Raw genomic sequence first — 27,051 nt, forward strand, 5'->3', positions numbered from 1 at the left:
TGTGACTACAGGCTAGAAGGAACCTAACCCTATATTTTTTCTTAGGTGTAATAATTCAGTATTCACCCATTCTATGTTTGCAGACACTTTATAGAACCTAACTACCATGAATAATGACGATCTAATTCTCTTTTAGGCAAGTGACTTAAAACTTTCTTTTTATGATGGTACTATTTAAAATGAATTTATTCAAGTTAAAAGCAAGCCAATTTAAATAAAAACACTTAAGTTAAAAAGAATAGTACAGGGTACAGGTTGTTTACTGTCATAGCAAAATTTGAAAGTAGTAAAGGAAAACCTGGAGTCTGTGAGTCACTAATTTAGCCAAAGCCTTTTGAGTCATCTTGCCAGAAGATTTTACCAGTTATTGAGCCTCAGTGTCCTTATCTCCGAAAAGATTATTATACCTTCTCACATACTGAGGTGCATTTGAGGAAACAAACTGAAAAGCACTTTTAAACCTACCTACGGGCAGGGCATGGTGGCTCATGTCTGTAATCCCAGCACTTTGGGAGGCTGAGGCGGGTGGATCACCTGAGATCAGGAGTTTAAGACCAGCCTAGCCAACATGTTGAAACCCAGTCTATACTAAAAATACAACAATTGGCTGGGCATGGTGGTGCATGCCTGCAGTCCCAGCTACTCCGGTGGTTGAGGCACGAGAATCGCTTGAACCCAGGAGGCCGAGGTTACATTGAGCCGAGATCGTGCCGCTGCACTCCAGCCTGGGTGACAGAGCAAGACTGTCTCTCAAAACAAAACAAAACACCTACCTAAGAACCTTATCAATATGAATGAGGCATCACCACAATAACTGTTGTTTCCTCTTGTAGACAAATTGTGAGGATTACCAGCTAATCTGAGTTCCTATGCTACTGCAGTTCCATCTGTCAGAAGAAAAGAAAAGGAAAAAAAAAGCACATTTGACATGCCCCCCACCTCCATTACCCACTAATAATGAAAAAATAATGATCTTTTTTCCCATGTTGGTGAATATTTTCCCTGTCAACTCCGATATGCTCATAATGCTGGCAGACAGATTATTTATGACCAGAGAAATTAAATATTATTTCATTTCTCCTAATACAATCTGTGGCGTCTCCCAGCTCCCAATTCCTTCCCATTAAGGTTATTGTCTTTTCTGCTCCAATTGGCTGCGTGCTGTTGGCTTGTAACAGCACTGGCAGAATGCTCGGAGCATAATGGAGGTGGTAGAAATGGTGTAATTTGCAAGACTGCCTTCCCCGTCTCATCTAAATGAAGACATTTGGTCCCTGCAAGTCAAAGCCCATTTTGATGAGTCTAGATGCATTTGGACTAATGGAAAAGGACAGCCATAGTTGTAATGGACTTCCTGAACTGGGTTTTCTTACTTAGAATCACAGAATTTCGGAACTTGGAGGGTGATTCAAGTCCATCTGTTTCAAGTCTCTCATTTGCTTGGGGGAAACTGAGGAGCAGAGAAGGGCATTCATGCAATGACACCTCTGATGAAAGAGCACTTTTTTCCTTTCCAACCTCTGTTCAATATTCTCATACTTTCAGTATGATTTAGATCCTTATCAGGAGCCCATGCCCTTCTCTAAGCACTGAGAGATATGAGTACCTTTTATAAGGGCCAGAGGCAGGAATCTTTCCCAAACAGGGGTTTGTGCCTTCCTGCCTCTGTGCCTTTGCGATTTCTATTCTTTCAGGTAATATCAGCTAGAGGTGAACTGGAGTATTTTGGGGACCTGCATCGTGGCTCAACTTCTTCCTCTGCCCAAGCCTGTTTTCCTTCCTTCTTTTCATAGGTGTTATTTCTAATAACAAATCCAATCCCAGTCCCTGCTTCAGGAGAACTCAACCTGTGACACTGAGGAGGCGAAATGTAAGATGAGTTTCTTCCTTCCTTATTCTTAGATTTATTTCACACTTGCTATGTGCCAAAACTGATATAGATCTGGTGTGTAAAAATATAGTTCCTCCTAACTGAAAGCAACCAGCTGGATAGCAGAGAGACAATAAGAAGCAATCATGTTAAGCCACTGTTTAATGCAGACCATTGTTACCTCCTGACTACACTACTGCAATATGGCCCTTGCTTGTATTTCACTTTCTATGTTGTTCCCATTTATTCATCAAGTGAAAACCCAAGTCTGGCCGGGCGCAGTGGCTCATGCCTGTAATCCCAGCACTTTGGGAGGCTGAGGCGGGCGGATCACGAGGTCAGGAGATCGAGACCATCCTGGCTAACACGGTGAAACCCCGTCTCTACTAAAAATACAAAAAATTAGCCAGGCATGGTGGCAGGCGCCTGGAGTCCCAGGTACTAGGGAGGCTGAGACAGGAGAATGGCATGAACCCGGGAGGCGGAGCTTGCAGTGAGCCCAGATAGCGCCACTGCACTCCAGCCTGGGTACAGAGCAAAACTCCGTCTCAAAAAAACAAAAACAAAAACAAAAACAAAACAAAACCCAAGTCTGATCATGTTACTTCTTGGCTTAAAATCTCTTAGTGGGCCAAGTGGGCGCTGTGGCTCACGCCTATAATCCCAGCACTTTAGGAGGCTGAGGGAGGTGGATCATCTGAGGTCAGAAGTTTGTGACCAGCCTGGCCAACATGGTGAAACCCCATCTCTACTAAAAAATACAAAAAATTAGCCAGGCATGGTGGCATGCACCTGTAATCCCAGCTACTCAGGAGGCTGAGGCAGGAGAATCACTTGAACCCAGGAGGCGGAGGTTGCAGCGAGCCAAGATCACACCGCTGCACTCCAGCCTGGGCAACATAGCGAGACTCCATTTCAAAAAAAAAAAAAAATCTCTTAGTGAAGCCTGATAACAGTTGAAATAAAGCCCCAGTTCCTTATTTAGCTCTTGCCTATTTCCTCTGTATCATTTCTTTCAATGTATAATGCCTTAGTAACACTGACCTGTTTTCAGTCTCTCAAGCCCATGGGCTCTTCCCTATCTCAAATTCTTAAAACTGTGAACTCCAAAAATCTGAGAAAGGCTTCAGTTAATTTAGAAAGTTTGTTTGGCCAAGGTTGAGGATGCGCACCCATGACACTGCTTCAGGAGGTCCTGACGACATGTGTCTAAGGTGGTCAAAGCACAGTTTGGTTTTATACATTTTAGGGAGACATGAGACATCAATCAACATAGGTAAGATGAACATTGGTTTGGTTTGGAAAGGCAGGATAACTCAAAGCAAAGGCAGGATGACTCCAAGCGGGGAGCGGACTTCTAGGTCATAGGTAGATAAGAGACAAATGATTGCCTGCCTTTGAGTTTCTGATGAGCCTCTCCAAAGGAGGCAATCAGATATGCATTTATCTCAGTGAGCAGAGGGGTGACTTTGAATAGAATGGAAGACAGGTTTGCCACAGTTACCAGCTTGACTTTTCCCTTTAGCTTAGTGATTTGGGGGCCCCAAGATTTATTTTCCTTTCATAATACCTACTAATTCCTCCATCTAGAGGATTCTCCTTCTGCTATCTTTGAGTATCTGACACATTCTCACCCTTGACAATTTGTTTTATTTGTTATCTTCTCAAGGCTGCTGCATAGTTTTGTAGGTTATATACTGAAAATCCAAGGGGGTGCTGTTCACATTGCTAGTCATCTGTGGTTGGTGTATTTATTATGATTTGATGGCAGTTATAAATGAGGAAGCTTAAGCAAGAGATGGCTTTTTCTAATTTGCAGAAAGGTCCTCAGCAGATATAATGAAGGATTGAAAGTTCATTCCTCAGTCCCCTGCTCTGACTACGGGATCCAGTTTATTCCCTTCATATTACATATTGTCATTTTAATCACATATTTATTTGCTTGTTTACTTTATCGCTTGTTTTTTTCATTAGATTATGGTTTTTATATGGTTAGAAATAAATAACTTTTTCTTCACCCACAAGTATACTGTGTGTCTTGCACAGTGCCTGATATATAAAAAAGGGCTCAACAAATGTTGCTCAGTTAAATCAGTGAAGGTGAGTGGGTGACATTTGGGCTGTTCTGTAAAATGAGCGTAGGATTTAAACACCACTCCAAGAAAGAGAGGCATTTTTGTGAGGGAGGGGAGAATTCCTTATATAAGAAATGGGACAAAAAGCACTTATCTTAGTAATGTGCTCAAAGATGTAAAATGCTAGCACAATGTTTGACACAGCTACACTCAAAAACATTTCTACTATCATTATCATCATTCTTTTACTATGGTTAATAAACAGCAGAAACATTACTCTTCCTCATTGATTAGAACATATAGTATTACAAAAAATACAAAATCAGAGTTTATAATTAGCTTGTATGGTTTGCAAAATTCTCTGGAGGAATTTGGATTTCATATATTCAGAGTTTCTTCTAGCCTTGCAATTTACCTTAAGACAGTGAAAAAAATAGATTTCACGAAAAATTAAGTATATTATACAGTCCAAGTTCTGGACCCGTAATTGAAAATAAGCCCCATGTTTCTCTTTCTTATGAAATTTCATTCTCCTCATTATTGCCATGATCCGCTGAACAAATGCCCCTGGGAGGCCAAGGAAGTCAGACAGTGGCACCATTTCCCACTTTAGCAATTCCCTGAAACTGTGCATACCAAAGGAAGGACAGTTGTTATCAAGTTGTCAGCAATTCCCATTGTATCTCCAGAGCTATAAAACCACTGGTGCCTCTTTCCAAAAGGCCTTTTGAAACATCTTCTACTTTAAGAAGAAAAACATAACTGATATAAAAAAAATTCAATTCCATGGTAAGAACTGAAAGTTGAGATCACATGTTATTTTTCTTGCTAGTAGCTATCATCCTTCTATTTCTCACTTTTTTTCTTCTTGGGAACCATTGACTATATCCCACTTCCTGGGACCACTCTGGGTATCAGTCATGGTTTTGGTTGCAAGCAACAGAAAGGGAACAGATACTTTGGTGAGAAACACAATTTATTGGAAAGATATTGGGTAACTTACAAAATCAACAATAGACTAATCAATCAGGCCCTGAAAATAAGCAGGAACCAAGAGAGGCTAGGAAGCAGGAAATTCACTACTTCTCTGTACACACTGACAACTCACAGTGCAGCCAGTAGCGGGACTCTGGATATCACCATTTGCCACTGGGTCCTCACCACCACAGGATTCTTAATGCTGCCACCAAAATGAATAATCTTTTTACCATCTCTGCATCTCTCCATCAATCCTTTAAGAGTCAGTCATGGATAGGACCATCTGATTTTCTCTTTTTTTAAGGCCAAGTGCCTGTACCCATGCACTAACTCACAGCAAAAGTTACCTAGCAGATTTTTTTTCCCTATTCATTCCAAAATAAGAACAACATTTGAATAGGAGGCAATAAAGAAATGGTGGATTTCAGTGGCAGAAAAAGTAAGTGATAAAACTAGGTTTTCAAACTTGTCCATGTGTTTTAATCAAGCTCTCCATCGTAGGGGAAAATTAGAGTTGAATAAAGAGAGAGATTCTTCTAAGAGGTGAAATAGATGAAGATATTAAAGCAACCGTCTTACAAAACTTAACACGTCTCACACCATCACAAACCAAAATTGTATCCAAAGCAGAATTATCAGTCATTCCTTTAAAAAGTACTTATTAGAGATCTACTATCCAAGTAGTGCTGTGTTAGGCAGTGTGAATTAAGTTCCCATGCTCAAGGAATTTATCTTATACAGTCTACCCTCCATATCCACGCACATCTACAGATTCAATCAACCACAAACTGAAAATATTCAGAAAAAAATAACAATGCAACCACAAAAAGTAATTTAAATAAAAAACAGCATAACAACTATTTACATAGCATGTACATTATCTTATGCATTATAAGTAATCTAGAGATGAGTCAAAGTATACTGAAGGATGTGCGTAGGTTATATGCAAACTACTCCATTTTATATAAGAGATTTGAACCTCCACTAAATTCTGGCATCCTTAAGGGTGGGAGGTGGTGTGGGGGGAGTGAATACTAAAACCAGCCTCTCATGGATACTGAGGGGCAACTGTACTTATTGCTTTAATGACTCAACAGAATGATATCGTTGACTGCTTTCAGCTCTTTATGTATGAAATTAAAACATACTATGTCTTTTTCCACTATTGTGCTTGCAAAGGACATTTGTACATTTGCCACACCTATCATCCTATATATTTAAATATTAATAGGAAAGTTTTGAGCAATAAAGACAGGTGGAAAAAAAGTGGTTAGAAGATTGGAGTCAAGTGTGGAGATTTGGGTCTTGGATCTGCTGTTAGACAACTCTGAGTCCTTCAGTAAATTGGCAAATCTCAGCTTCAATCCCCTGGCATGTTAAATGGGATAATACCTAAATCCACCTCTTGTATATCTTTGCAAAATTAAGATGGGGGTGTCTACTTAGATGGGTTTAATTTTTATTCTTTATAATAAACAAGGAAACATACTTTTTAGGGCACCAAATGACAGGTACTGACTGACAAAGTATTTTGTAATTATACTTAATTCTCCACTACAAGCTATCTGAAAACCTCTAGATATCATACAAGCTTTAACTCTTCTGCTCATGTGGTTTCATCTCTTTGCTAACATTTCTTTTTTATTAAAAATCCAAGTGTTACAGTTATCCCCACCATTTATACACACATATTTTTAAGTGTTAAGTCGTCAGGCACAAAGCGTTCTGTTGCACTTGAACAACTACTTGTTAGTTGAGAATTTTTTTCTCTTGTCTTATTATCTCTCCTGTAGGTAACAAATAATGAGCTTTGATAAGAGCTAAGTTTAATTCTCTTTGCTAGAAAAGAAAAAAGATCACCTATTTTTACATTCCCATAGATGAGACAAAATTTTCTCTTTTAGGGAACAAAAGTTGGAAATGTTTCTGATTTCTCCCTCATTATCAAGGAAGAAGTAAATTCTCCAATTGATAGGATTAAGGGAAGGAATTCACCATGATCATCCCAGGACCTTCTTGCAGCTCTTTCAGAGAGTCAATGCATAGACTCTGTTCATTTGTGTCCTAAGCTTATAGGAGATTGAGTGATGGATAAGACCTTGAACCTCTCAGGGGATGGTAAATATTTTAAAGGATAAGCTATCAAAAAACCCAGCTGTGGTTGCCGATGAGGTTATCTATTTTAATACAACTTTATTGCTAATAACACTGACATTTTGTTGTCTGTCTGATGATAACCATACTCAGGAAAATAAGAGCTGAGTGTTAATTGTGGAATCCCTAAAAACTCCAACTTATTCCATCAGTGGCAGCAGTTTTATAATGCAAGTCTCTCTCTGTTCTCTAATAGCCACATTATCAGCAAGTAAGCTGGTATTTTCTAGAAATAGTGTTCTCACAGGAACATGGTAAGCATTGTATGTTCTTTATTTTCTTTTGTTTTTTTAATACATGTGGTTTTTATTTTTAGGACTGAATATACAGATCTTTCTGCCTTCCTCTTAGTTGGTAACTTTGCTCATCTCATCTCCATGTTTACCCTCAAAGAGAGAAAACAGGTTTTAACTGGATAGTAAGTATTAGTGAGCACTTTCAGGGGAAACATAAGAAGATATTTAACAAAAAGCTTTCTAGAACTCTACATTTGGGGTTATTTGAGGAAAAATTAGGCATGGCAAAAACCTAGATTGTGTTAATAATGGTCGTTAAGAGAGTCCCTTTTCTGTAATCTGAATCCTCAAATAAAATAGTACCTTGAGAGGAGGCATCTTCCTGTGGTCACTAAACTGTTTCCCAAATATATTTAACCTGTAGACATTAGATACAATATGATAGGATTGTACTAATGCATAGTAGTTTGAATTTCACTGCATATGCTATGCTTGAATAATGACAGGGAAATTGGGTTTTAGTGAAGATACTTAAGAAGATTGATGAATTATTTGTACATTGGCAGACTAGTCCTTTAATTCAGATTGTTCTTGCTAAGAGCCCAAACCACATCAAATTAACCTTATTTGTTTATTTATTTATTCATTCATTTATCGTTCATTCAATTCCCAAAAGTTTATTGACGGTCAACTTGGTTTTAAGCATTTTTCTAAGTATTGGAGACCCACAAGTCAACAAAACAGCACTCTTAAATGCTAGTAGGAGAGACTAGCAATAACACATTAATAATTGAATTATATATTACTGCAAAGGTAATAAATTACAGAGAAAAAAGTTGAAAAACAGAAAGAAGCATGTAGATTATTGGGGCAGAAAGGAGGGTTTAAACTTTTCAGTAGATTGCTCAGTCAAGGCCACATTAAGAAGAAAACATCTGAACAAAAGTTTGAGAAGAGAACTGTGCATATATGCAGAAATGAGCCTTCCAAGAAGAGGAAACAAAATGTTTAAAGGCTCCAAGCCAGGAGCATGCCTTGAGTGTGAACACTCAGAAGCTGGTGTGATTGGAATTGAATGAATAGAGAGAAGATTAAGAAATAAAGTCAGAGAGATAATTGAAGGCCAGACTATGTGGGATTTTAGGACCATTGTCTTTGGAATTAGAGAGACTGAGATGGAAAATCACTATAAAATTCTGCACATTAACTCTGGTTGATGTGATAGGAGAGACTGAAAGGAATGGGTTAATCAAGGATAGAAAAAGTGAGACCAATTAGGATACTAATGCAACAGTGCAAATGTGGTGGCCTGGACTAGGTCACTATGAGTGTATGTGACAAAATGCAGTCTGGGTATATTTTGAAGATAAAGACAACAAAGTTTGTTGAAAGACTGAAATAAGAACATGTTGGCAATGGAAAATCAAGAATTGTGGTTTAGACCCCATAGATATTACAAATATCAAATATATAGGTAACTATAGGAAGCTTAATTTAAGGAAGAAGGCCAAGACTGTTGAATGGTCAGCATATAGATGGGATCTAAAACCTGAACACTGGATGTGATCAACAAGTGCCTGAGTTTAGATAGAAAAGAGAAGAAATCTATTGATATTGCTGTAGAGATTAAGAGGTCAGGAAGATAAGGAAGAACTCACAAAAGAGACTGATAACAAACAGCCAGTGGTAGAAAAAAAAAAAAAACCCAGAAGGCTGTGCTCACCTAGTATTAACGTACATAAAGGGGTGGGAGAAATAGACCTTTTCAAATAATGCTCATAGGTCAACTGAAATGACTGAACAAACTGGCAGTGGCTACTGCATTTAGCAATTCAGAAGTTGCTGCTGACCTTGACAAGAATGGTTTTGCTGGAGCTGTGTCAGTGAAAGCCTTGTTAGAGTGGGCACAGCAGAATAGTGGTAGACTAACCCGAGACCACGACTATAGAGCTCTCACTTGCCTCTTTTCATTAATAGCATGATGTTTCAGTGATGGCAGACAACAATGTGACTCACCAACAATTCTGAAGAAATGCTCCTTCAAGCATCCAAGAGGATCACCTTTCTTCTCTGTCTTGAAATTAGGTATAGCTCTTTGTTTTGCTTTCTCAAATGAGTTATCGGCAGAAGTGGCATGTATCCATTCCAAGCAGAAGCATGAAAATCTGGTGTGTGATTATCTCTTTCTTCTTTGTGCTGCTGTTGGCAATGTTCTATGTAGTGAGAACTTCATTAGCTGTGGTTCAATATGAAACAGAAATCCTCCACAAATGTGTAATGTTGCTGGCATGTTGGCTCATGCCTGTAATCCCAGCACATTGGGAGGCCAAGGCAGGTAGATTGCTTGAGCCTAGGAGTTTGAGATCAGCCTGGGCGGCATGGCGAAACCTCATCTCTACAAAAAATACAAAAATTAGTAAGGTGTGTTGGTGTGTGCCATTAGTCCCAGCTACTCAGGAGGCTGAGGTGGAAGGATCACTTGAGGCCAAGGGATTGAAGCTGCAGTGAGCTGTGATCCCGCCATTGCACTCCAGCCTGGGTAATAGAGAAAGACCCTGTCTCGAAAACAAAATGTATAATGTTTATATGCTGTGAGTGAAAAAATAAACTTTTTTGTTTCAAAACACTGAACCTTTGGGGTCATTGGTTACTGCAGCCTGATCTGGTCTAATATGAGTAGCACCATGCCTGCTCTCTTTCTGTTGTACGTGCTGGAATTTCTGTAACTATACTAACCAACTGACCACAGCTTGCTCAAAATGTATTGGGAAATCACAAGCTCTCTAGAAGATGGAAAGTATTTGCTTCCTTCATCAGTATCAGCACATTCAGAATGGAATGAATTAGCCCTATTCTCCCCTGGAAAAAGGGTCTTCCCGTTTCTCACCAATGAGGTGGTGGGAGATGACAATAAGGCATGCTTTTGTTTTATCTGGAGGAGGGAAAGGGCCTGTGCGTTCAATGTAAGAGTCCAGTAAATTCTAAAAAAAGACCCTACTCTCAGCTCACATTTGGAATTACAAAATTAGTTTTGTACATAAAAAGGACCCACAAATTTTAAGTTCTTGGTAATTATTACCTATTATTTTGTTGCAATTATTGTTTTATTGTAATGATTATTGTTTATCATTACTATTATTATTATTATTATTATTATGTCTTGATGGTCATAATGACCTAAAGTTTGCTTTGGCACACCTTTCTTTATGTACCAGGGGATATGTGAAAAAAGAAAATCATAATTCATCCAACATTTCTTATATGTCTACTGCATACTGAACTTATACTCAGAAGACTGATGTTGGACAAGCTATGTTCACTTTCATTCTTCCACTTCAGCTTCATGGACCATAAAGTCATTTATATGAGAAAAGAAAGCATTAACTCCATCTATCTTCAGGGGGCAACAGAATAGATGATCATATTTTCCCATGTCAACATACTAATGGCATATTATACACAAGTTTATAGCTCCCTGATCACCAATCTGCAAGTTGGAAAATGGTACTCAATTGGATTGAGTGATTTGTAAAGGTTGAAACATTGATAAAAAGAGAGACAGGGAAAGAGAAAGATTGGAACCTTGTCAAGGAAAAAACAAAGAAGAAAATAAATACCTATGTTTTTAAAAATGAATTTATTTCTCTTCAGGTATTTCTTCAACATCCAAGTGAATATATGGTTCTTATAATACATTGAATTTAAACAATTTCAGTAATACAAGGAAATTGCAGCTGATGGAAATCCTGAACAGCATGCCAAATGACTTTGAGTTCATTCTTGTTCCTCTTTTTCTTCCATAAACCCAGCCAGGCCATTCAATTCCACAAGCCATCGAGGACTGTGAGATATTACATCATTATAAAGGTTATATATAATTCATTCACCATGTCAAAGAAATGGTGATAAATGCAGGAATTACTCACAAGGATCTTTTCACATATTTTTCCTCAAGCCTTTTTAATTTTATTTTTTAATTCTTTTTATAACTTCCATCAGCTGATCAGCCACACCATCATCAAAATATTACACAGCTCCCAAAAGTCATGTGGAATAATGAAATCTGGGCGAGACTTGATACCCAGTCTCTGGCTTCTAAGGCTTGTTAATCTCATGGGAGCAAAAGTAGTACATGGACCAACATTTATTGAGCCTCACCTATGAACTGAGAATAGAAATCTTACTTTATACAGTTTTTAAAGAATATTTTATTTTCAAACTTAGGTCTCACCAGATACATGAGACTAGTGAAGGTTTTATTTTTATTTTTGTTTGTTTTTTTAATTCAACAAGTATACACTGAAGAGCTGTATGCCATAATCCCTGCCCTTGAGAAGTTTTCCATCCAGTCAAAGACACTGCAACTGTTGAGCTCAAAATTGTAACTGAACAACTCAATAAGAGCAATAGAACAGAGATCGGATAATTTGTTGTAAGAGAATCAGGAAGCGAGAACAAAACTTGGTCTGAGGCTCTCCTAGAAGGTTTTTACTAAAAGTGTGGATTACTCGCTGGGTCCTCTAACATGTTTAGAGAAATTTCCACTTCATGCAAAGAAAGCGGCTTGTTTAAAGTCATGAAACAGTGAAAAGGGTGGGCATATCCACTGCATTAGTTTCATGGAGCTGCCATAACAAAGCAGCACAAACTGATGCTTACAGCAAGTGAAATTTATTGTCACAGTTCTGGGGGCTAAAAGTCTAAAGTCAAGATGTTGACAGGGCCTCACTCCCTTGTAAAATTCCTAGGAGAGGATCTTTCCTTGCCTCTTACTCCTTCTGTTTGCCCCTTACAGCTTCTGTTCACCCCAAGCGTTTCTTGGCTCACGTAAGTATCACTCCAATCTTTGCCTCCTTCACTTGGTTGTCTTCTCCCTATTTGTCTCTGTCTTCACATCTCATTCTCTTCTGCAAGTAAAATTGTTATTATAACAATAATAAGGAGAATAAGGCGAAATACAGAAAGCTTATTTTCAGGAAGAAGGCCAAGGCTATTGATGCACACTAGAGAATGGTCAGCATATAGATGGGGTTTAAATCTGAATGCTAGATGTGATCAGCAATATTCCTCCTCTGTATGTGTGTCTATGTCCAAAAATTCCTCTTTTTATAATGACATCAATCCTATTGGATTAGGGCTCAACCTAATACTCTCAACTTAATTACATCTACAAAGACCCTATTGCCAAACAAGGGCATGTTCACAGGTACCAGGGATTAGAACTAGAACATACCTTCCTTTTTTCTTTGGAGAAGGGGCACAATGCAATCCACAACGTTCATGGAAAGTGTAAAAGAAATATAGGGAACATGTTGAGAAGGGAGAGGAGAAGGCTGGAGCCAGATTGTAAAGAACACAGCATGCCATGTGGGAAGCCCTCAGGCATGCTTCAGCAGATGAGTAAATAAAGCGGCTTTCTCTTTATAAAGACCATTCTATGGCAATGAAAAAATGGACCAAATGGAAGTGACAGTTGCATGTGGCACACATAGTAATTGTCTAGATGAATACTAGGGAGCATATGAGAGGCCAGAGCTAAGGGAAGTCTCTCAGACTAGATGACAATTGATCTGATTAGAGAATCAATCAAGAGGAAAGAATAGAGAATGGCTCTGAGGCTTCTAGTCTTGAGTACTGGGTAGCTGGTAAGACTATTAACCAAGAGATGAACCATATGCAGTAAAGTCGACCGGGAATCAGAATAAGGAGGAGGCAAGTGAAAAGCTTAACTTAGTATATGTTAAGTTGATCTGGGGAAAAAAGGGATTTAAGCAAAATCTTGAAGAATGCAAATAATGAGTATATTCTGCATTGGGCTCATTCTCAGACATTGAAAAACTTTTTAAAAGGTTGCATTCTGGACTCTTTTCAATAGTGAGAAATCCAGAGTAACAATTATCCAAAGATTGATGGTTAATATTGAGTGTCAACTTGATTGGATTGAAGGATGCAAAGTATTGTTCCTGGATGTGTCTGTGAGGGTGTTGCCAAAGGAAATTCACATTTGAGTCATTGGATTAGGAGAGGCAGACCCACCCTTAATCTGGGTGGGAACCATCTAATCAACTGCCAGTGCAGCTAAGATAAGAGCAGGCAAAGGAGCGTGGAAGGACTAGCCTGGCTAAGTCTTCTGGTCTCCATTTTTCTCCCATGCTGGATGCTTCCTGTCTTCAAACATCAGACTCCAAATTCTTCAGCTTTTGGACTCTTGGACTTACACCAGTGGTTTGCCAGGGTCTCTCAAGCCTTTGGCCACAGACTGAAGGCTGCTCTGTCAGCTTCCCTACTTTTGAGGTTTTGAGACTTGGACTGGTTTCCTTGCTCCTCAGCTTGCAGATGGCCTATTGTGGTACTTCACCTTGTGATTGTGTGAGTCAATACTCCTAAACAAACTCCCTTTCATATATACATCTATCCTATTAGTCCTGTCTCTCTAGAGAATCCTGAATAATACACAAAGTGTATGAGTATGAGTTTTCTATTGCTATGTAACAAATTACCACCAACTTAGTAGCTTAAAACAACACACTTTTATTATCCCCAGCCAGGAGCCTGGGTGTGGGTTAGCTGTTCCTCTGCTCAGGGTCTAACAAGCTAAAATGCAGTCAGGACTGTGACCTTATCTGAAGCTCTGGGTCCTCTTCAGTGTTTGCTGGTTGTTGGCAGAATTCAGTTGCTTGTGGTTGTAGGACTGAGGACCTCAGCTCCTAGAGCCTGCCCCTGATACCCTGTCATATGACTGTCTCCACATGTGACACTTCACTACTTCAAGGCCAGAAAAAGAGCATCTATGCTACTTTGACTTTCTGATTTCTAGACAACTTTTTTTTCATTTTTTAAAAAAATTTGGGGATAAATTATAGGTGTATATATTCAGGAGGTACATATTTTGATACAGACATACAATGTGTAATAATCATATCATGGTAATGGGGAATCCATGACTCCAAGCATTTATCCTTTCTTTGTGTTACAGACAACCCAATTATACTCTTTTAGTTAGTTTAAAATGTATGATAAATTAGTATTGCTGCAGTAAATTATTACTACAGTCAACAATAACTTATTTTACATTTTAAACTAAAAGAGTATAATTGGATTGTTTATAACACAAAGAAAGGGCCATTTTTTTAAGGGCTCAACTGATTAAGGCAGGCCCACTCAGACTACTTTCTCTTTTGATTAACTTATTCTCAATTCCTTAAGGACATTACTAGCATCTGAAAAATCCCTTTACCTTTGCCGTATAAGGTAACCTAATTACGAAAACATCTCCTCATAGTCAAAAGTCTCACCCACATATAGGGACGGAAGGAATTATACAAGGTGTGCAAACCACAGAATGGAAACCTTGAGGACCATTTCAGAATTCTTACTACCACACAGTGAGTCTTGGTAAAACAAGGAATATGCAAGACATTTTTTTTTTGCTTCCGTTAATGGCACTCATCTGATTATCTTTGGTTGATGAAATGTCTATATAGGGCCACAATTCTGTACTCAGCAACAATAGTCTGCACTCCTGTACAAAAATTGTAAACAGTTTTAATCACAATGCTGAGTTTTTGTGACATACTTAACTAGAACTAAATATTCATTTTAGACGAACCAGAATAAACTCATAAAAAAGAATGTTGGCCCATATTTTAGAAATATTTACTAAATTGAAACTTTCTAGATATTCTACAGTCCTCTCAGTTAAGGTTATTCCCTCAGCAGTAGTAATTAGTAATAATGGTGATGATTACTCATAATCTACACTCATCTAATAATTTTATGCATTTTCTCAAGTCAGCCTCACAATGACCCTACAAATTCTAACTGATAAACACTATCTGATTCTCAAGTATGGGTATTATAGTAGGTTCTTTTTATACAAAAATCAGTAAACTGCAGCCTTTGTCCTTACCTAGTTCGAGGTTTTGTTGGGCGAAATATATAAATGATATTATTTCATTTAAGAAAAGAAGGCACAGAGAAAGGAATTAATGGGCAAAAACCACACAGTTAATTAATAGAAGGGCCCACTTGTCCCAATGTCACTGTCAGCATTCTTTCCACTGCCTTATAGCACTGTATGTGTTAGTGGCATAATCCATATACATCCATTTATGCTTTAGAATAACACTTTAAAGTGAAAATACGTGATGGTAGGAGAGATGGCACTAAATGCAAAAATTCACTGGATTTCTTGATGGATGCTGTTTTCTCTAAGAGCCTGAAACTCAGCAGAATTCACCAAGGTAGCATCTGACACTGGCCAAGGTGTTGTGTGACCATCCTTGTTGTTTCAAACAATCTGGAGCAATACATGAAAATGAGATAAGGATAACCTTCTCTCTGATGCCATGGACTGGATGATTTCCCTAAGGTCAGAAGAAGTTTCCCAAGGAGTCGCAGCTGGAAATAGGACCAGGTTAACTAATTGCCTTGCTGATTATGAGAGGAAAAAAAAAATCTGAAATCAGTGAAAGAAAAGTGGTTTTGAGGCCATGGCAATCAAAGCAGAAATCTAGATTCTTCAGGGGCAGCTCCCAAAGAATGACAATAAGCAGATGCCACACAAATGGCTAAGTCATTTTGAAAATTGCTTACCTAGTATTTAGAGGGAAAAACAATATTCTGAAATGAATTGAACAGCTCTGTGCCACAAACAACTGTGTTGTTCTAGATAAGCTCCTTGGTTTTTCTTTTTCTAGAGCTACTTTAAAAATTCCCATTGTATCCCATTATGTTTTTATATCTCTGATTTCTGATTGGCTTGGACTCCCATCACCTGAGAAGTCCCTTATAGTAAGCTGAAGAGATAAGAAAAATTTTTTAAAAGACTGAAATTTTGTGTTCTGTACACAGTATATGAGAATGTTTCTTCTTTTCCCTTTTCATCAAGTTGTTCAACTTCACCAATGATTAGGCAAAGAGAATAAATTGCCGGCTAATTAAATTTGCAGATGGTATTCAATAGTGAGGGTATGTGAGGATAAGGGATAAATGCAAAAGGCCTCAAAAGCTTTGCATTCTACGCTTGAGAAACTGAAAGGGCATGAGTCGTGTGTGCAACTAACATCTGGCAGATAGAAAAAGGGCAGAAGGGAGGCTTCTGGGTCACAGAGTGGATAGCAGAGAGAGGGCAATTGTAGCAGGAGAAAGAGATGGGCTCAAATAGCTGTGAGATAGCAGTGAACAATTATTTCTGTCTGGGTTAAAGCCTGGATTAGTGTATAGGAGACCTCCCATGTATAGAATTCTAGAGTGAAATCCCCAAAACTGCGTCCTCAAATGAGTTTTTGGTATTTGGCAGACCACCAGCTTCACAGCATATCTCTGGCAACACTGTGGCTTTTGAGTTAGCCACGGGGGTTTCATTCACTCTCAAAGTAGAACAAGCTTATTGGCTATGTGCCAGAAAGTGCAAAACCAGATGATATGCATGGCATAAATTTCTCAATTATTAGTTCTGCTCATAGCAAGTAATTTAAAACCTTATTTTGATATTAAAGCAAACATGGACAGGCTGTGGTATAAAATAGGGAATTTGCATGGATTTTGAGATATAACTCAAGACTTGAAAAAGATTTTTCTTACAGCATGCCATTTTGGCTTACATTTCCAGATGCTCTAAGGGTACATATACATGCTTCCTTAAGGTTAGGGGTATTTAGGTAGGCAAAGCTGAGAAACACTGTATCACACCTATGGGCATAGCATAATATGAAATAACTATTTATTTTAAATTATGACAATTTATGAATTATTAATCGATTACCCCCCCATACCAAACATTTTTCTTAGGGTGAAGGGGGGCACAATGATGTAAGAAACAAGTCCCTACTCTCAGAAACTAACATTCAAGGTTGCACTGTATTTATAAAGTTCCTCACATACAGCAATTTAACATAATTACACTTAAAGCATTATTAGTTGATATTTATTTATTTGTTTATTTTGCAAACATTTATGGGACATTTTTCATGTTTTGCTAAGTACTGTACCAGGCAACAGTGATCCACAGGTGAATATTTCAAACCTGCTTTCTGCCCTAAAACAGCTGGAATTCTAATAAGGATGACTGTCAATTAAGAAATTCATTCCAGTAGGATGTAATGTGTTTTATGCAAGGGAAGTGGAATTTGCTAGGGATGATTTGGCAAGAGAGTTTCATCTGCATTGGGCTACATAAAAGTTCACTCAGAGGAATTATAGTTAAGCTGAACAGATAGGAGTTGGTCAGATAGAAAGAATAGAAAACTGTTTCAGCTGGAGGGATAGTATCAGAGAGGCTGAGAAGTGAGCGGAAGCAGGACTTATTCTAGTGCGTAAAAGAAACTGATAATGGTTAGTATACACCAGAAGGAGCAGAATGTGAAAACATAAGCCTGTGGTCATAGGTCTGATTACAGAGATCCTCACAGGCCATCCTAATGGATCCGTACATTATCCTCAGGATGATAAAAAGATCATGAAAGCAAAACATGAACAAAGTTGTAGTTTTAAATGGCCACTCTGGCTTCAGTCTGGGAATGGATTTGAAAGGGACAGAAGTAGAGTCAGGGAGGCCATTTAGGAGGGCATTGCAAAATCCAGGCAAGAGAAGATGCTTGTCAGGCTGAACTGGGGTTTTGGCAGTGGAGATAGACTCAAGTGATACTTACAAAGTGAGCTTACAGAATTCGTTGATTGATTGGGAATGGGTGAAAGAGGTGAAAGTTAATTCTTTGGTTTGGAGTAGGTAACAATTTGCATGTGATTGCCACGGCAGTTTGTAGAATAGATGGATGAAGTTGTTTTTGGATATCTTGAATGTGTAATAACTTAAAATACCCAAGTGGGGGTAATCAGTGAATAGTAAAACAGAAACCTAGAAAGCAGGAAAAGGCTGAATTTTAATCTTTTCAAATAGGGTTTTGTTGATCTTGGACTGTAACTTTTGTCATTGACCAAGCAATATCCTAACAGAGTCTGCCTATTGGACTAAATTTTCTTGCAGGAACTGAAACTAAGATTCTTTCCATTATACCAGAATGGGGCAAGCCTATCATTATTTTGAGAATAAATCCAACCTTTTCCTGAGATTCCTCTAAAATCACTTGCATAAGCTTGCAGCCCTCTAGTAGAAGAATGGGTACTTCAGCCTAAGTCTCTATACTACCAAACTAGTATGCTTTTATTTATTATATTTTCTCACCCCCATTCCCCAGACTATGAATGCCCACTTTATCCTCAGCATCTGTAGGGAGTCTGGACATCTTACTCTACCTTCAAGTAATAGAAGTATCTGCATTTATTTTCCTAGGTAATGGCATAAGTCCCCATGTGGGGGCTCCTTCTTCCTGCTAAAGGAAGCTAAAGGTCTATTTGAACATGAGCCCAATTTTTCCCCTACCAACCATCACTGTCACAACTGACCACTTTGGCAGTGCTGCCAGCTCAAAGCAGATGGGTTGACTGACAGGAAGCACAGATCTGCCGTTCACACATATCCAGGCAGGCAAGGGATGGAAAATAGGTGTGCTGCACCTGTCTGGCACCGACAGCTTCTGCCACACCAACATTTCAATCAGCACCATGTTAACACAGCCCGTGTGCCACTCAAAATAGCCCTAGGGGTGGGTGGTTTCTAGGGAGCCAAACGAGTCCCTGGGCCGCTACAGAGAGAGGGGTTACCAGGTCTATCAGAGGCAGCTGCCACACCTCTTTCTCTTGCCAGATAATTAGGACACAGTCCAGTTGGGTGACTTTGTTCTGCCCGAGGAAGTGACAGCTAATACTGGGCTGGCAGCGGAGTGCACGCCATGGTTCATCATAACTGTCCAAATCAGCAGGATCTGTCCAGTGCAGCCAAGAAAAGTTGAGCTTTATTTATTCTCTCTTTGGGGAACAGAGGGAATGGCAAGGATAGGTGTGCTTTAGAATGTCAGTCTAACTACTTAATACTTAATAACACGCACACACATATGCCTATGTGTATGGATAAACATACTTGCACAAACACCTAGAAAGAAAACCGCATCTTCATATATAGGCTGATAAAGCCACAAACCACAGACACATAAACTGGCATATATGTATGCAAAACACTCATGTGAATGTACTTGCTTGTAAACACACAGATACAAACTTGCATTTGGATAGACATATACAGGAAGCACACATCCATAAACAAATGCATTTGTACATACGTGGGTAAACACAGACACACAGACATTGGGAAACAAAAGCTCACGTACCATGCATGCAGATTCAAGAACTCATATAAACACAGGCAAATACAGATACAAATACATGTGAAAGGACATTTGACAAATACCCCTCCACACACTCTTTTCTCAGTAGCAATCTTGAAGAGGAAGGGAGAAAGGACAAAGAGCATTTATGCATTGGAGTTTCTATCTGTCATCACTCAAATAACTTTCTAGTGGGTAAAACAAAAGAGGGGAAAAATCAATTTCTGATAGAAGTTCAAGGAGCTGTGAAATCAATTATACTTTATTTTCAAATATCATTCAGAGAAGTTTATACTCTTTCAGAAAAGTCTGGTCTCGCCAGGGGGCAAAGATCCAGCTGGAAATGGAAATAAGAAAGAAACTGCAAAGTTCAAGGCAAAGGTCACTGCTGAGGTCAGAAATGACACTTTCATCTTTGGTGGCAGGAGAAGGGGGTTGGGAAGGTTACAAGTGCCCCTATTCAAATAATGACCATGAGGGCTATCTGATGTGACATTAGTCACCTCATTGATTGCTAAGTTTGACTTGGTCAATTCACATTAAAAAATAAATGTATGTGAGAGCTGAAAGGATCCTTAGAAAGCTCTTTTTAAAAAATCTAAAGAGACAAAAAGACTGAAATAGGAGGTGTGGCTTGCTCAGCATCACCCAGGAAGAAGGTACAGAGCCTGGGACTGAGCCCAGACAGCTGGTTTCTTAGCTCTGACCTTCCTGCTTTTCCCATTAGACTTCTCCCTTCAGAGCACCCTCTGTACCAGGCAGAGCTTTGATTTCTCTATAAACATGCACCTAATTAACTCACACAGTTTGGGGTGTTTAACTGCAGATACCAGGCTGAGGGCTGGTGGCTGGCCAGAAGTATCACCAGGGCCAAACCCAAGGTGATACGTTCTGAAGAGCATCCCAGTTTTCCATCTGAGTGACCTCCCTGCTTGTGGCCGGGCCCTTGAAGGCCAGGGCTGGACTCTAGATAACATAGCAGGATGCTGTGTGCAGGGGAAGCACACTCACAGAAATCTTGATAAGCAAATGAGTGCTTATTATGAAATGAAAGGATCGGGGAGGAGGGCACAGGGAAGGTGACATTGAGAAAGTCAGATGCCACCATTAGAAGCTTCAGTTATCTCACTGAAAATAAAAAGAGGAATACAAAAAGCTAAATGTGGGTTGCAGGGGGTTTAAATTAATGAATGCATTTGAAAACACATTGTAAATTTACTAGACAAACGTAAGGTATATTGCTTTTCTATAGTCCCAGTGAAGGAAGACATTACCCCAGAGGTTTTCTTTATGCTGTTATCTCCCCTGCAAATTCTCTTGGTGTTCATTGAATCAGACCTGAACCATGCTTTAAAAATTGCCTAAGTGAACTGACCTCATCGCCATGGCTAAGGACCATAGAGCTGGAAGAGTTTTCAGACGTGATTTCCAGCATTTTCCACATTGGGTCTGGGAGAGCATTCTAAGGGATGTTACTCAGTGCCACACAATAGTAGCTTTTGTAGTAAAACCATTTTATGAAATGCTACAAAAAAGACTTTGCTCTTATAGATTCACAAAATAAAGAAGCATCTTCAAAGTTCTGAGAGGTCCTTCAGGGAAGAAACCTGCTTAATTTTGTTGAAAGTGGTGTTTCTAAAACATTTTTGTCTTCTCTCCCCACACTGTTTTGTTTTTGTTTCTGTTTTCAATGTTGCACATTTATTAATATCCTAAAGAGGAACTTTCTGTAGGATACAATTTTGAGATGTGCTCAATGCCTTCATTTTACAGATGAAGAAGCAAAGTTATAAAAATGGAAGTGAGTTAATGAAGATCACACAGCAAATTAATGACAGAGCTATAATTCCTGATGCTCTTTTACTTCTCAAAATCCATATTGAACACAAATTTAGTAACTGATTATACTCTGCCTTATTGTGTTAGCTTATTAGCTTGTGTGTATTTTTAAATAAAATGATATGTGTAAAGCCACACAATATAGTTTCTGGAACATCTTGATCACTTAACAAATGTTAAATCTGAATTCTCTATTTGTGTTGTTTCTTCAAGCAGATCATGAGCTCTTAGGGAGGTCCGTGTTTTGTATGTTCCTAGAAATCCCCATGGTTCATACAGCACTTCTTGACACCCCTGAGGTACAAAATACCTGCTTTCTCATCTACTGATTGAAAATCAGGGGCAGCCCCAGTGCTATGCCCATTGGAGGAAAAGAGCCTGACATTAAAGCAATAAAATGAACCATCTCCCCTACAGAGTTAGTCTAACATTAATGAAAGCTTCATGATGCACTATTATCCTCTCCTCTTATTATTCTCATGTATTTCATGCTGGATATAAATGTCAGAATGCTTTATCTGTCTGCATTTTCATGAGATTTATTGATACTGAAGGAACACATGCTAAGACTTCTGGCAAGGGAAACCTAGTCCTCAGTGGCATTTTTTTTTCTCCACTCTGCCCAAGGTTCCTCAGAGACCACAGCGTGAAAGAAAACAGGAAAGGAACACTCTGTCTGTTGCCCTAAGCCAGAGTTCAAAAATTTGGTTCTCCCGTTTTCTTTTCTTTTTTATTTTTTTGAAACGGAATTTCACTCTTGTTGCCCAGGCTGGAGTGCAGTGGCGCGATCTTGGCTCACTGCAACCTCTACCTCCCGGGTTCAAGTGATTCTCCTGCCTCAGCCTCCCAAATAGCTGAAACTACAGGCACATGCAAACATGCCCGGCTAATTTTTGTATTTTTAGTAGAGACAGGGTTTCACTATGTTGGCCAGGCTGGTCTCGATTTCTTGACCTCATGATCTGCCCACCTCGACCTCCCAAAGTTCTGGGATTACAGGCATGAGCCACTGCGCCCGGCCTCCCATTTTCTAATTCTGAGGCTTTGTGCAACTTCTACTCCCTTGTTAAAACACAGATTTCTGGGCTTTAGCCCCAGAGATTCTGATCCTGTTGGCTTGTGGAAGAACCCTAGAATTTGCATTTCTAACTAGTTGCTAGGCGATGCTGTATTGCTGTTCCATGGTCCACACTTTTTGAACCATCCCTCTAAGCGAATTGGGGTACGCACATTTCCATTCCCCTGTTGGTTTGATTGTTATACTTTAACTCTTTCCCCCACAAGCAGAAACTAAAATGAAGATATAAGTGCAAGTAGTTTATGGAGACATGATCCTAGGAATCTCTGTGAAGGAGTCATGTGAGATGAGGAATCAAAGAAAGTCACCAAAGTTGAATTAATAGGCCAGTGTGCCACTGGGGGATTTTACTACTGAAGACCATCTGTAGAACTCAGAATTTATCTGTTAAGAAATGAGGGGCCTTGAATTTTAGCTCCCACCCCTCACTTATTGACAGTTGCTCCTTAAGACTTCAACTCTGGGCATTTCCAGCCTGATCTATGCACAGGCTCAGCACACTCCAAGTGACCCTGAGGCTCATAAACATGGTCCAAGGTTTGGAAGCGTCACTCAAGAGCTTGCTAGAAGTGCAAAATGTCAGGCTCTATCCAGACCTACTGAATCAACATCTTCATTCAACCAAGTCCTAAGATGACCTATGTGCACATTAAAGTGTGAGGAACCCTGTCATACTGTGATGATTGAAACAGCTGATGAATGGGAATCATGCTATTCACGCTGAATTTTATTATTATTTTATTATTGAGTCGTTGGTAGCTCCTTGTGGTCCTTGTAGTCCTCTTATTCTTCACTCCATATTTAAAAATAAGATTTCATCAGCCTATGGAAATGTACCAGAATCTGTAATTCATTGCTTGCTAATTAGTCTGAAAGGTAATTTTTATGTAGGAGTTAGTGTTCCTAAATATTAATGAGCAATTAGAATTCTATTCTGAAAACAGACGATATTTTGTGTTGAGGGTGAGCAGAGGGAGGTGAGGAATAAAAGGATACACAAGTAAACATGGTTATATATTGGGGTTACTATGTGGGCTTGTATTTCTTTAAGCCTGACACCTGGCAATTTGAACAAAAGTAAGCCAACCAGCACTAGGGTGACCGTCATAAACAAATGAATCACCTACCAGAAAAAGAAAACAAACTAATAAAACTCTCCAAAGCAGAAATCAAGCAAATGGCAGGCTCTGTTGTCACTGGAGAAAAGCCTAGAATGGTATTTTAGCCTGAGAGATCCCAAAGCAGCATTGATTAGTATGCATTCTTCAGAATTTAGTGGAGTAAAATAGATATTACTTAACAGTTTTGTGGCCAAGTGAACTGAGAAAAGGCTGGGAGAAAATCAAGAGGTTAGTGATTTGCGCAATTTTAATTTTTTACAATAGGTCATTATTTTTGAGGCCATCTTCTCTCTCCAAATCTGCCAACATTTCCTAACAGGTCCCCCTGCTTGCACTCTTACCTCCAACTACACTGTCTCTACAGAGCAGCAAGTATAATATTTTTAAAATGCTAATGAGTTTAGCACACTCTTCTGCTGAAAGTACATCAATCTTGTATTTATATTTATGTATTATTTTTCTAACATTCCCAACAAAACCCTCTTTACCTGTTATGTGTTCTTCTCAAAACCATGGCTGACAACTGTTTCACATTCTTTCATGTTGTTGAATATGCCAAGATATTTCCTCTCTGTGTTTTCTTACATACTTAAATTTTATATTCTCAGGTAGGCCTTTTTTCTCACTCCTCTCATCTCTTAGAAAACCTGACAGATTCCCTTCATAGCAAGTCACAATTTATAGCAATATTTCCATTTGGGTAGTTAGAGATTTAATGTGTGTTTCTCTCCCTGTAAAAGAAAATCTAAAAGAGATAAAAAACTCTTGTTTATTTATCATCATTCCCCCATGCCTAGCATGTGTCTGATGCATAGGAGACAATTAGTAAATATTTATTAAATGATTATATAGTCACTAACATGACAATGTATTGGGTTTTTCAAATGCATTTGAACAGGGAAACTTTTTTTTTTTAAAGCCTGGGAGTAATATTTCATGGAATAAATTTTGAGAAATGCTTTTCTAATGTCAATTCCACTCTTCCTAAGTGTGAAAAGAGGAATATAAGTTATAACTACTATTTCAAGCTCTGACTAGCTGTGCGACCATGAGCAAAGTTATTTCAAAATTGAGACTCACTTGTGGAATGATGAGGCTGGACAAGATAATCTCTAAAATCCTTTACAACTCCCCAATTCTGAAGTTCTAATCATACAAAAAGAGTACCACTTTCACTTTGAGCTCTTGAAGAGTAAGTCAAATCAGTCTGACCTCATTTCACTCTAGGAGAGCTATAGTCTAGGATGGTAAATTAGGGAAAGGAAGTCAATACAGCATATTTAGCTTTCCATGAGCCATTTCACGAAGTCTTCCCTGATGTCTTTGTAGAAAAGAGTGAGCAATGGGGGCTTGATGGAGGTATGACAGACTGGTTTTGTAACCAGTTGAAAGATGGTCCCCAGGAGTGCTAATTAATGGATCAATGCCAACCTTGAGGACAGGGGCTGGATATAGCCTGTAGGCTCTATTGTTTGTCCTGCCCTGTTCAACATTTCTATCAATGTCTTGAATGAAGAGTGAGAGCTCATGATCATCAAATATGTAGGTGACATGACGGTAGGAATATTTTGAATGACAGAAGCAGAATTCAAAGTCATTTGAACAGCCTGGAGAAATGAACTTTGTCTAAAGTGGGAAAATGTAGTAATATAAAAGGAAATCCCTGGAAATAGAAGCTACAATCAATTACAAAGAATATATATGATTACAAATATGTTTATGCACGTAGGTGTTTTTGTGTGTGTGTGCTGTGTGTGTGTGCCTAGGTAATAACATTTTGGAGTTTTAGTTGATAGTAAGAATGAAATATTAGAATAAGGTAAGATGGCCACTTAACATGAATGTTTGCTACAAATTGAAAGTTCATATATAGAAACTTAGCATGTAAAAGGAGGCAGTTGAAAAATGCTGCCTATTCAGTTGGGACTCGCAGCACCATTTCCAAATTTTAGGAAGAGAAGACAGATTAGAGAATGTGATCAGGGAAGAGGGAACAAGATGGTGAAGAAAAGTATTGAAGAAATTTGAGATACAGTCCAAAGAAGAGACAGTATAATTATGGAGACCATGATGATGTCACCTTCCCCAAATTAGGATTACATGCCTCTGTGATGTAACTCCTCAGTGCCTGAGACTTCCCTCACCATTCACCAATCACTATGAGTTGTCATTTTTTCTGTACCCCCTACATGTTGTATGAGAGCAGAGTTTGAAGCTGTTTTATCGCCATCACCCTTCCAGTGATTAGGTCAGAACCTGGGACATAAAATCAATGAGTTGATAATGAATAAGTACATTTTATTTTCCTTAAATATCTTTAGCGTTGTAAGAAAAGACAATTTGTGTTTGTTTTGTGTAACCCAGTGGATTAGAAAAAGTATCAACTGGAAGTGAAAGTTTTTTCCAAGTAATAATCACAGATTTTCAAACACGTCTTGAACTATTGAATCAGGTAATTTCCCATCACTAGAGGCGATCAAGCTAAATTTGGAAATAGGAGGACCCTTTTGGCTGGAGCCACTGGAGACAGGACTTAAGCCACACATTCTATCTCTTGGGTGACTTTTATATCACTTAAAACTTGATTTTAATTCAGAAATTTCTTTCAAAAAGTTTGTTCTGAATCAACAGAAAAATATTATTTCCTAAATATTTTCCATTATGTGTTGCCTCTGGATCTTTAGTCTGGTTATTCTACCAATCCATTGCCCACCCAGATTGTGTACATAAAATTTCTACCCATTCTATATAAAACCTCTCACACTTGTCTTTTGCTTAAAACATTTAATTTAAAAACCCCATTAAAACCAATCCCTTCTTTCTCTGCATTTCTGTATAATATTTGTCCCTCTCTTCTATCCTCACCTCTTTCTGCCTTGTATTATAGAGGTAATTGTCAATCCGACTCACCACCAACTCAAAATAGGGGAATTTTACATGTGCAGGTGATTGTATATATCCATCAATCAAAGGACTTCCCTCTTGTGCCACATTTCTGCTAAAAGTTCCTAATGAAAACAGCAAGATAAGATCTGTTATTTGAATCTTTGAAATACGCAATTATCTGCCTATGAATACCAGAACTCCGCCTGGTATTCTTCCTACAAAACGTACAGAAACAAACTTGAGAATCATTTTCCTTTACTGCAAAATTGCAGAGCACAGTCTACCTACCCTCAATGTGTTGTTGAAATAAAAAAGAAAAAAAAAAGTACAGACTAAAGAAAGGAAAAAGAAAAATGGAGTGAAAATGTTTGAAATACACATTAAGACTCTAGGGTAGTGGAAATAAATTAAAATGGCAATATCCATCACTTCATTTTGGTTGACATGTTTGTTTACCAACTTGTGGTTTCTTGTCTGGCAGAAAAGAGCTTTTTAAGAAATCATGTTGTGAATCTCTCATATTTCTTTTTAGACATCACATAGTTTTATCCAATAATATTTGGATGATTAAAGAGTAAATGACTAAATGA

Source organism: Homo sapiens, chromosome 9, assembly GCF_000001405.40.
Source record: "Homo sapiens chromosome 9, GRCh38.p14 Primary Assembly".
NCBI classification, from domain to species: Eukaryota; Metazoa; Chordata; class Mammalia; order Primates; family Hominidae; genus Homo; species Homo sapiens.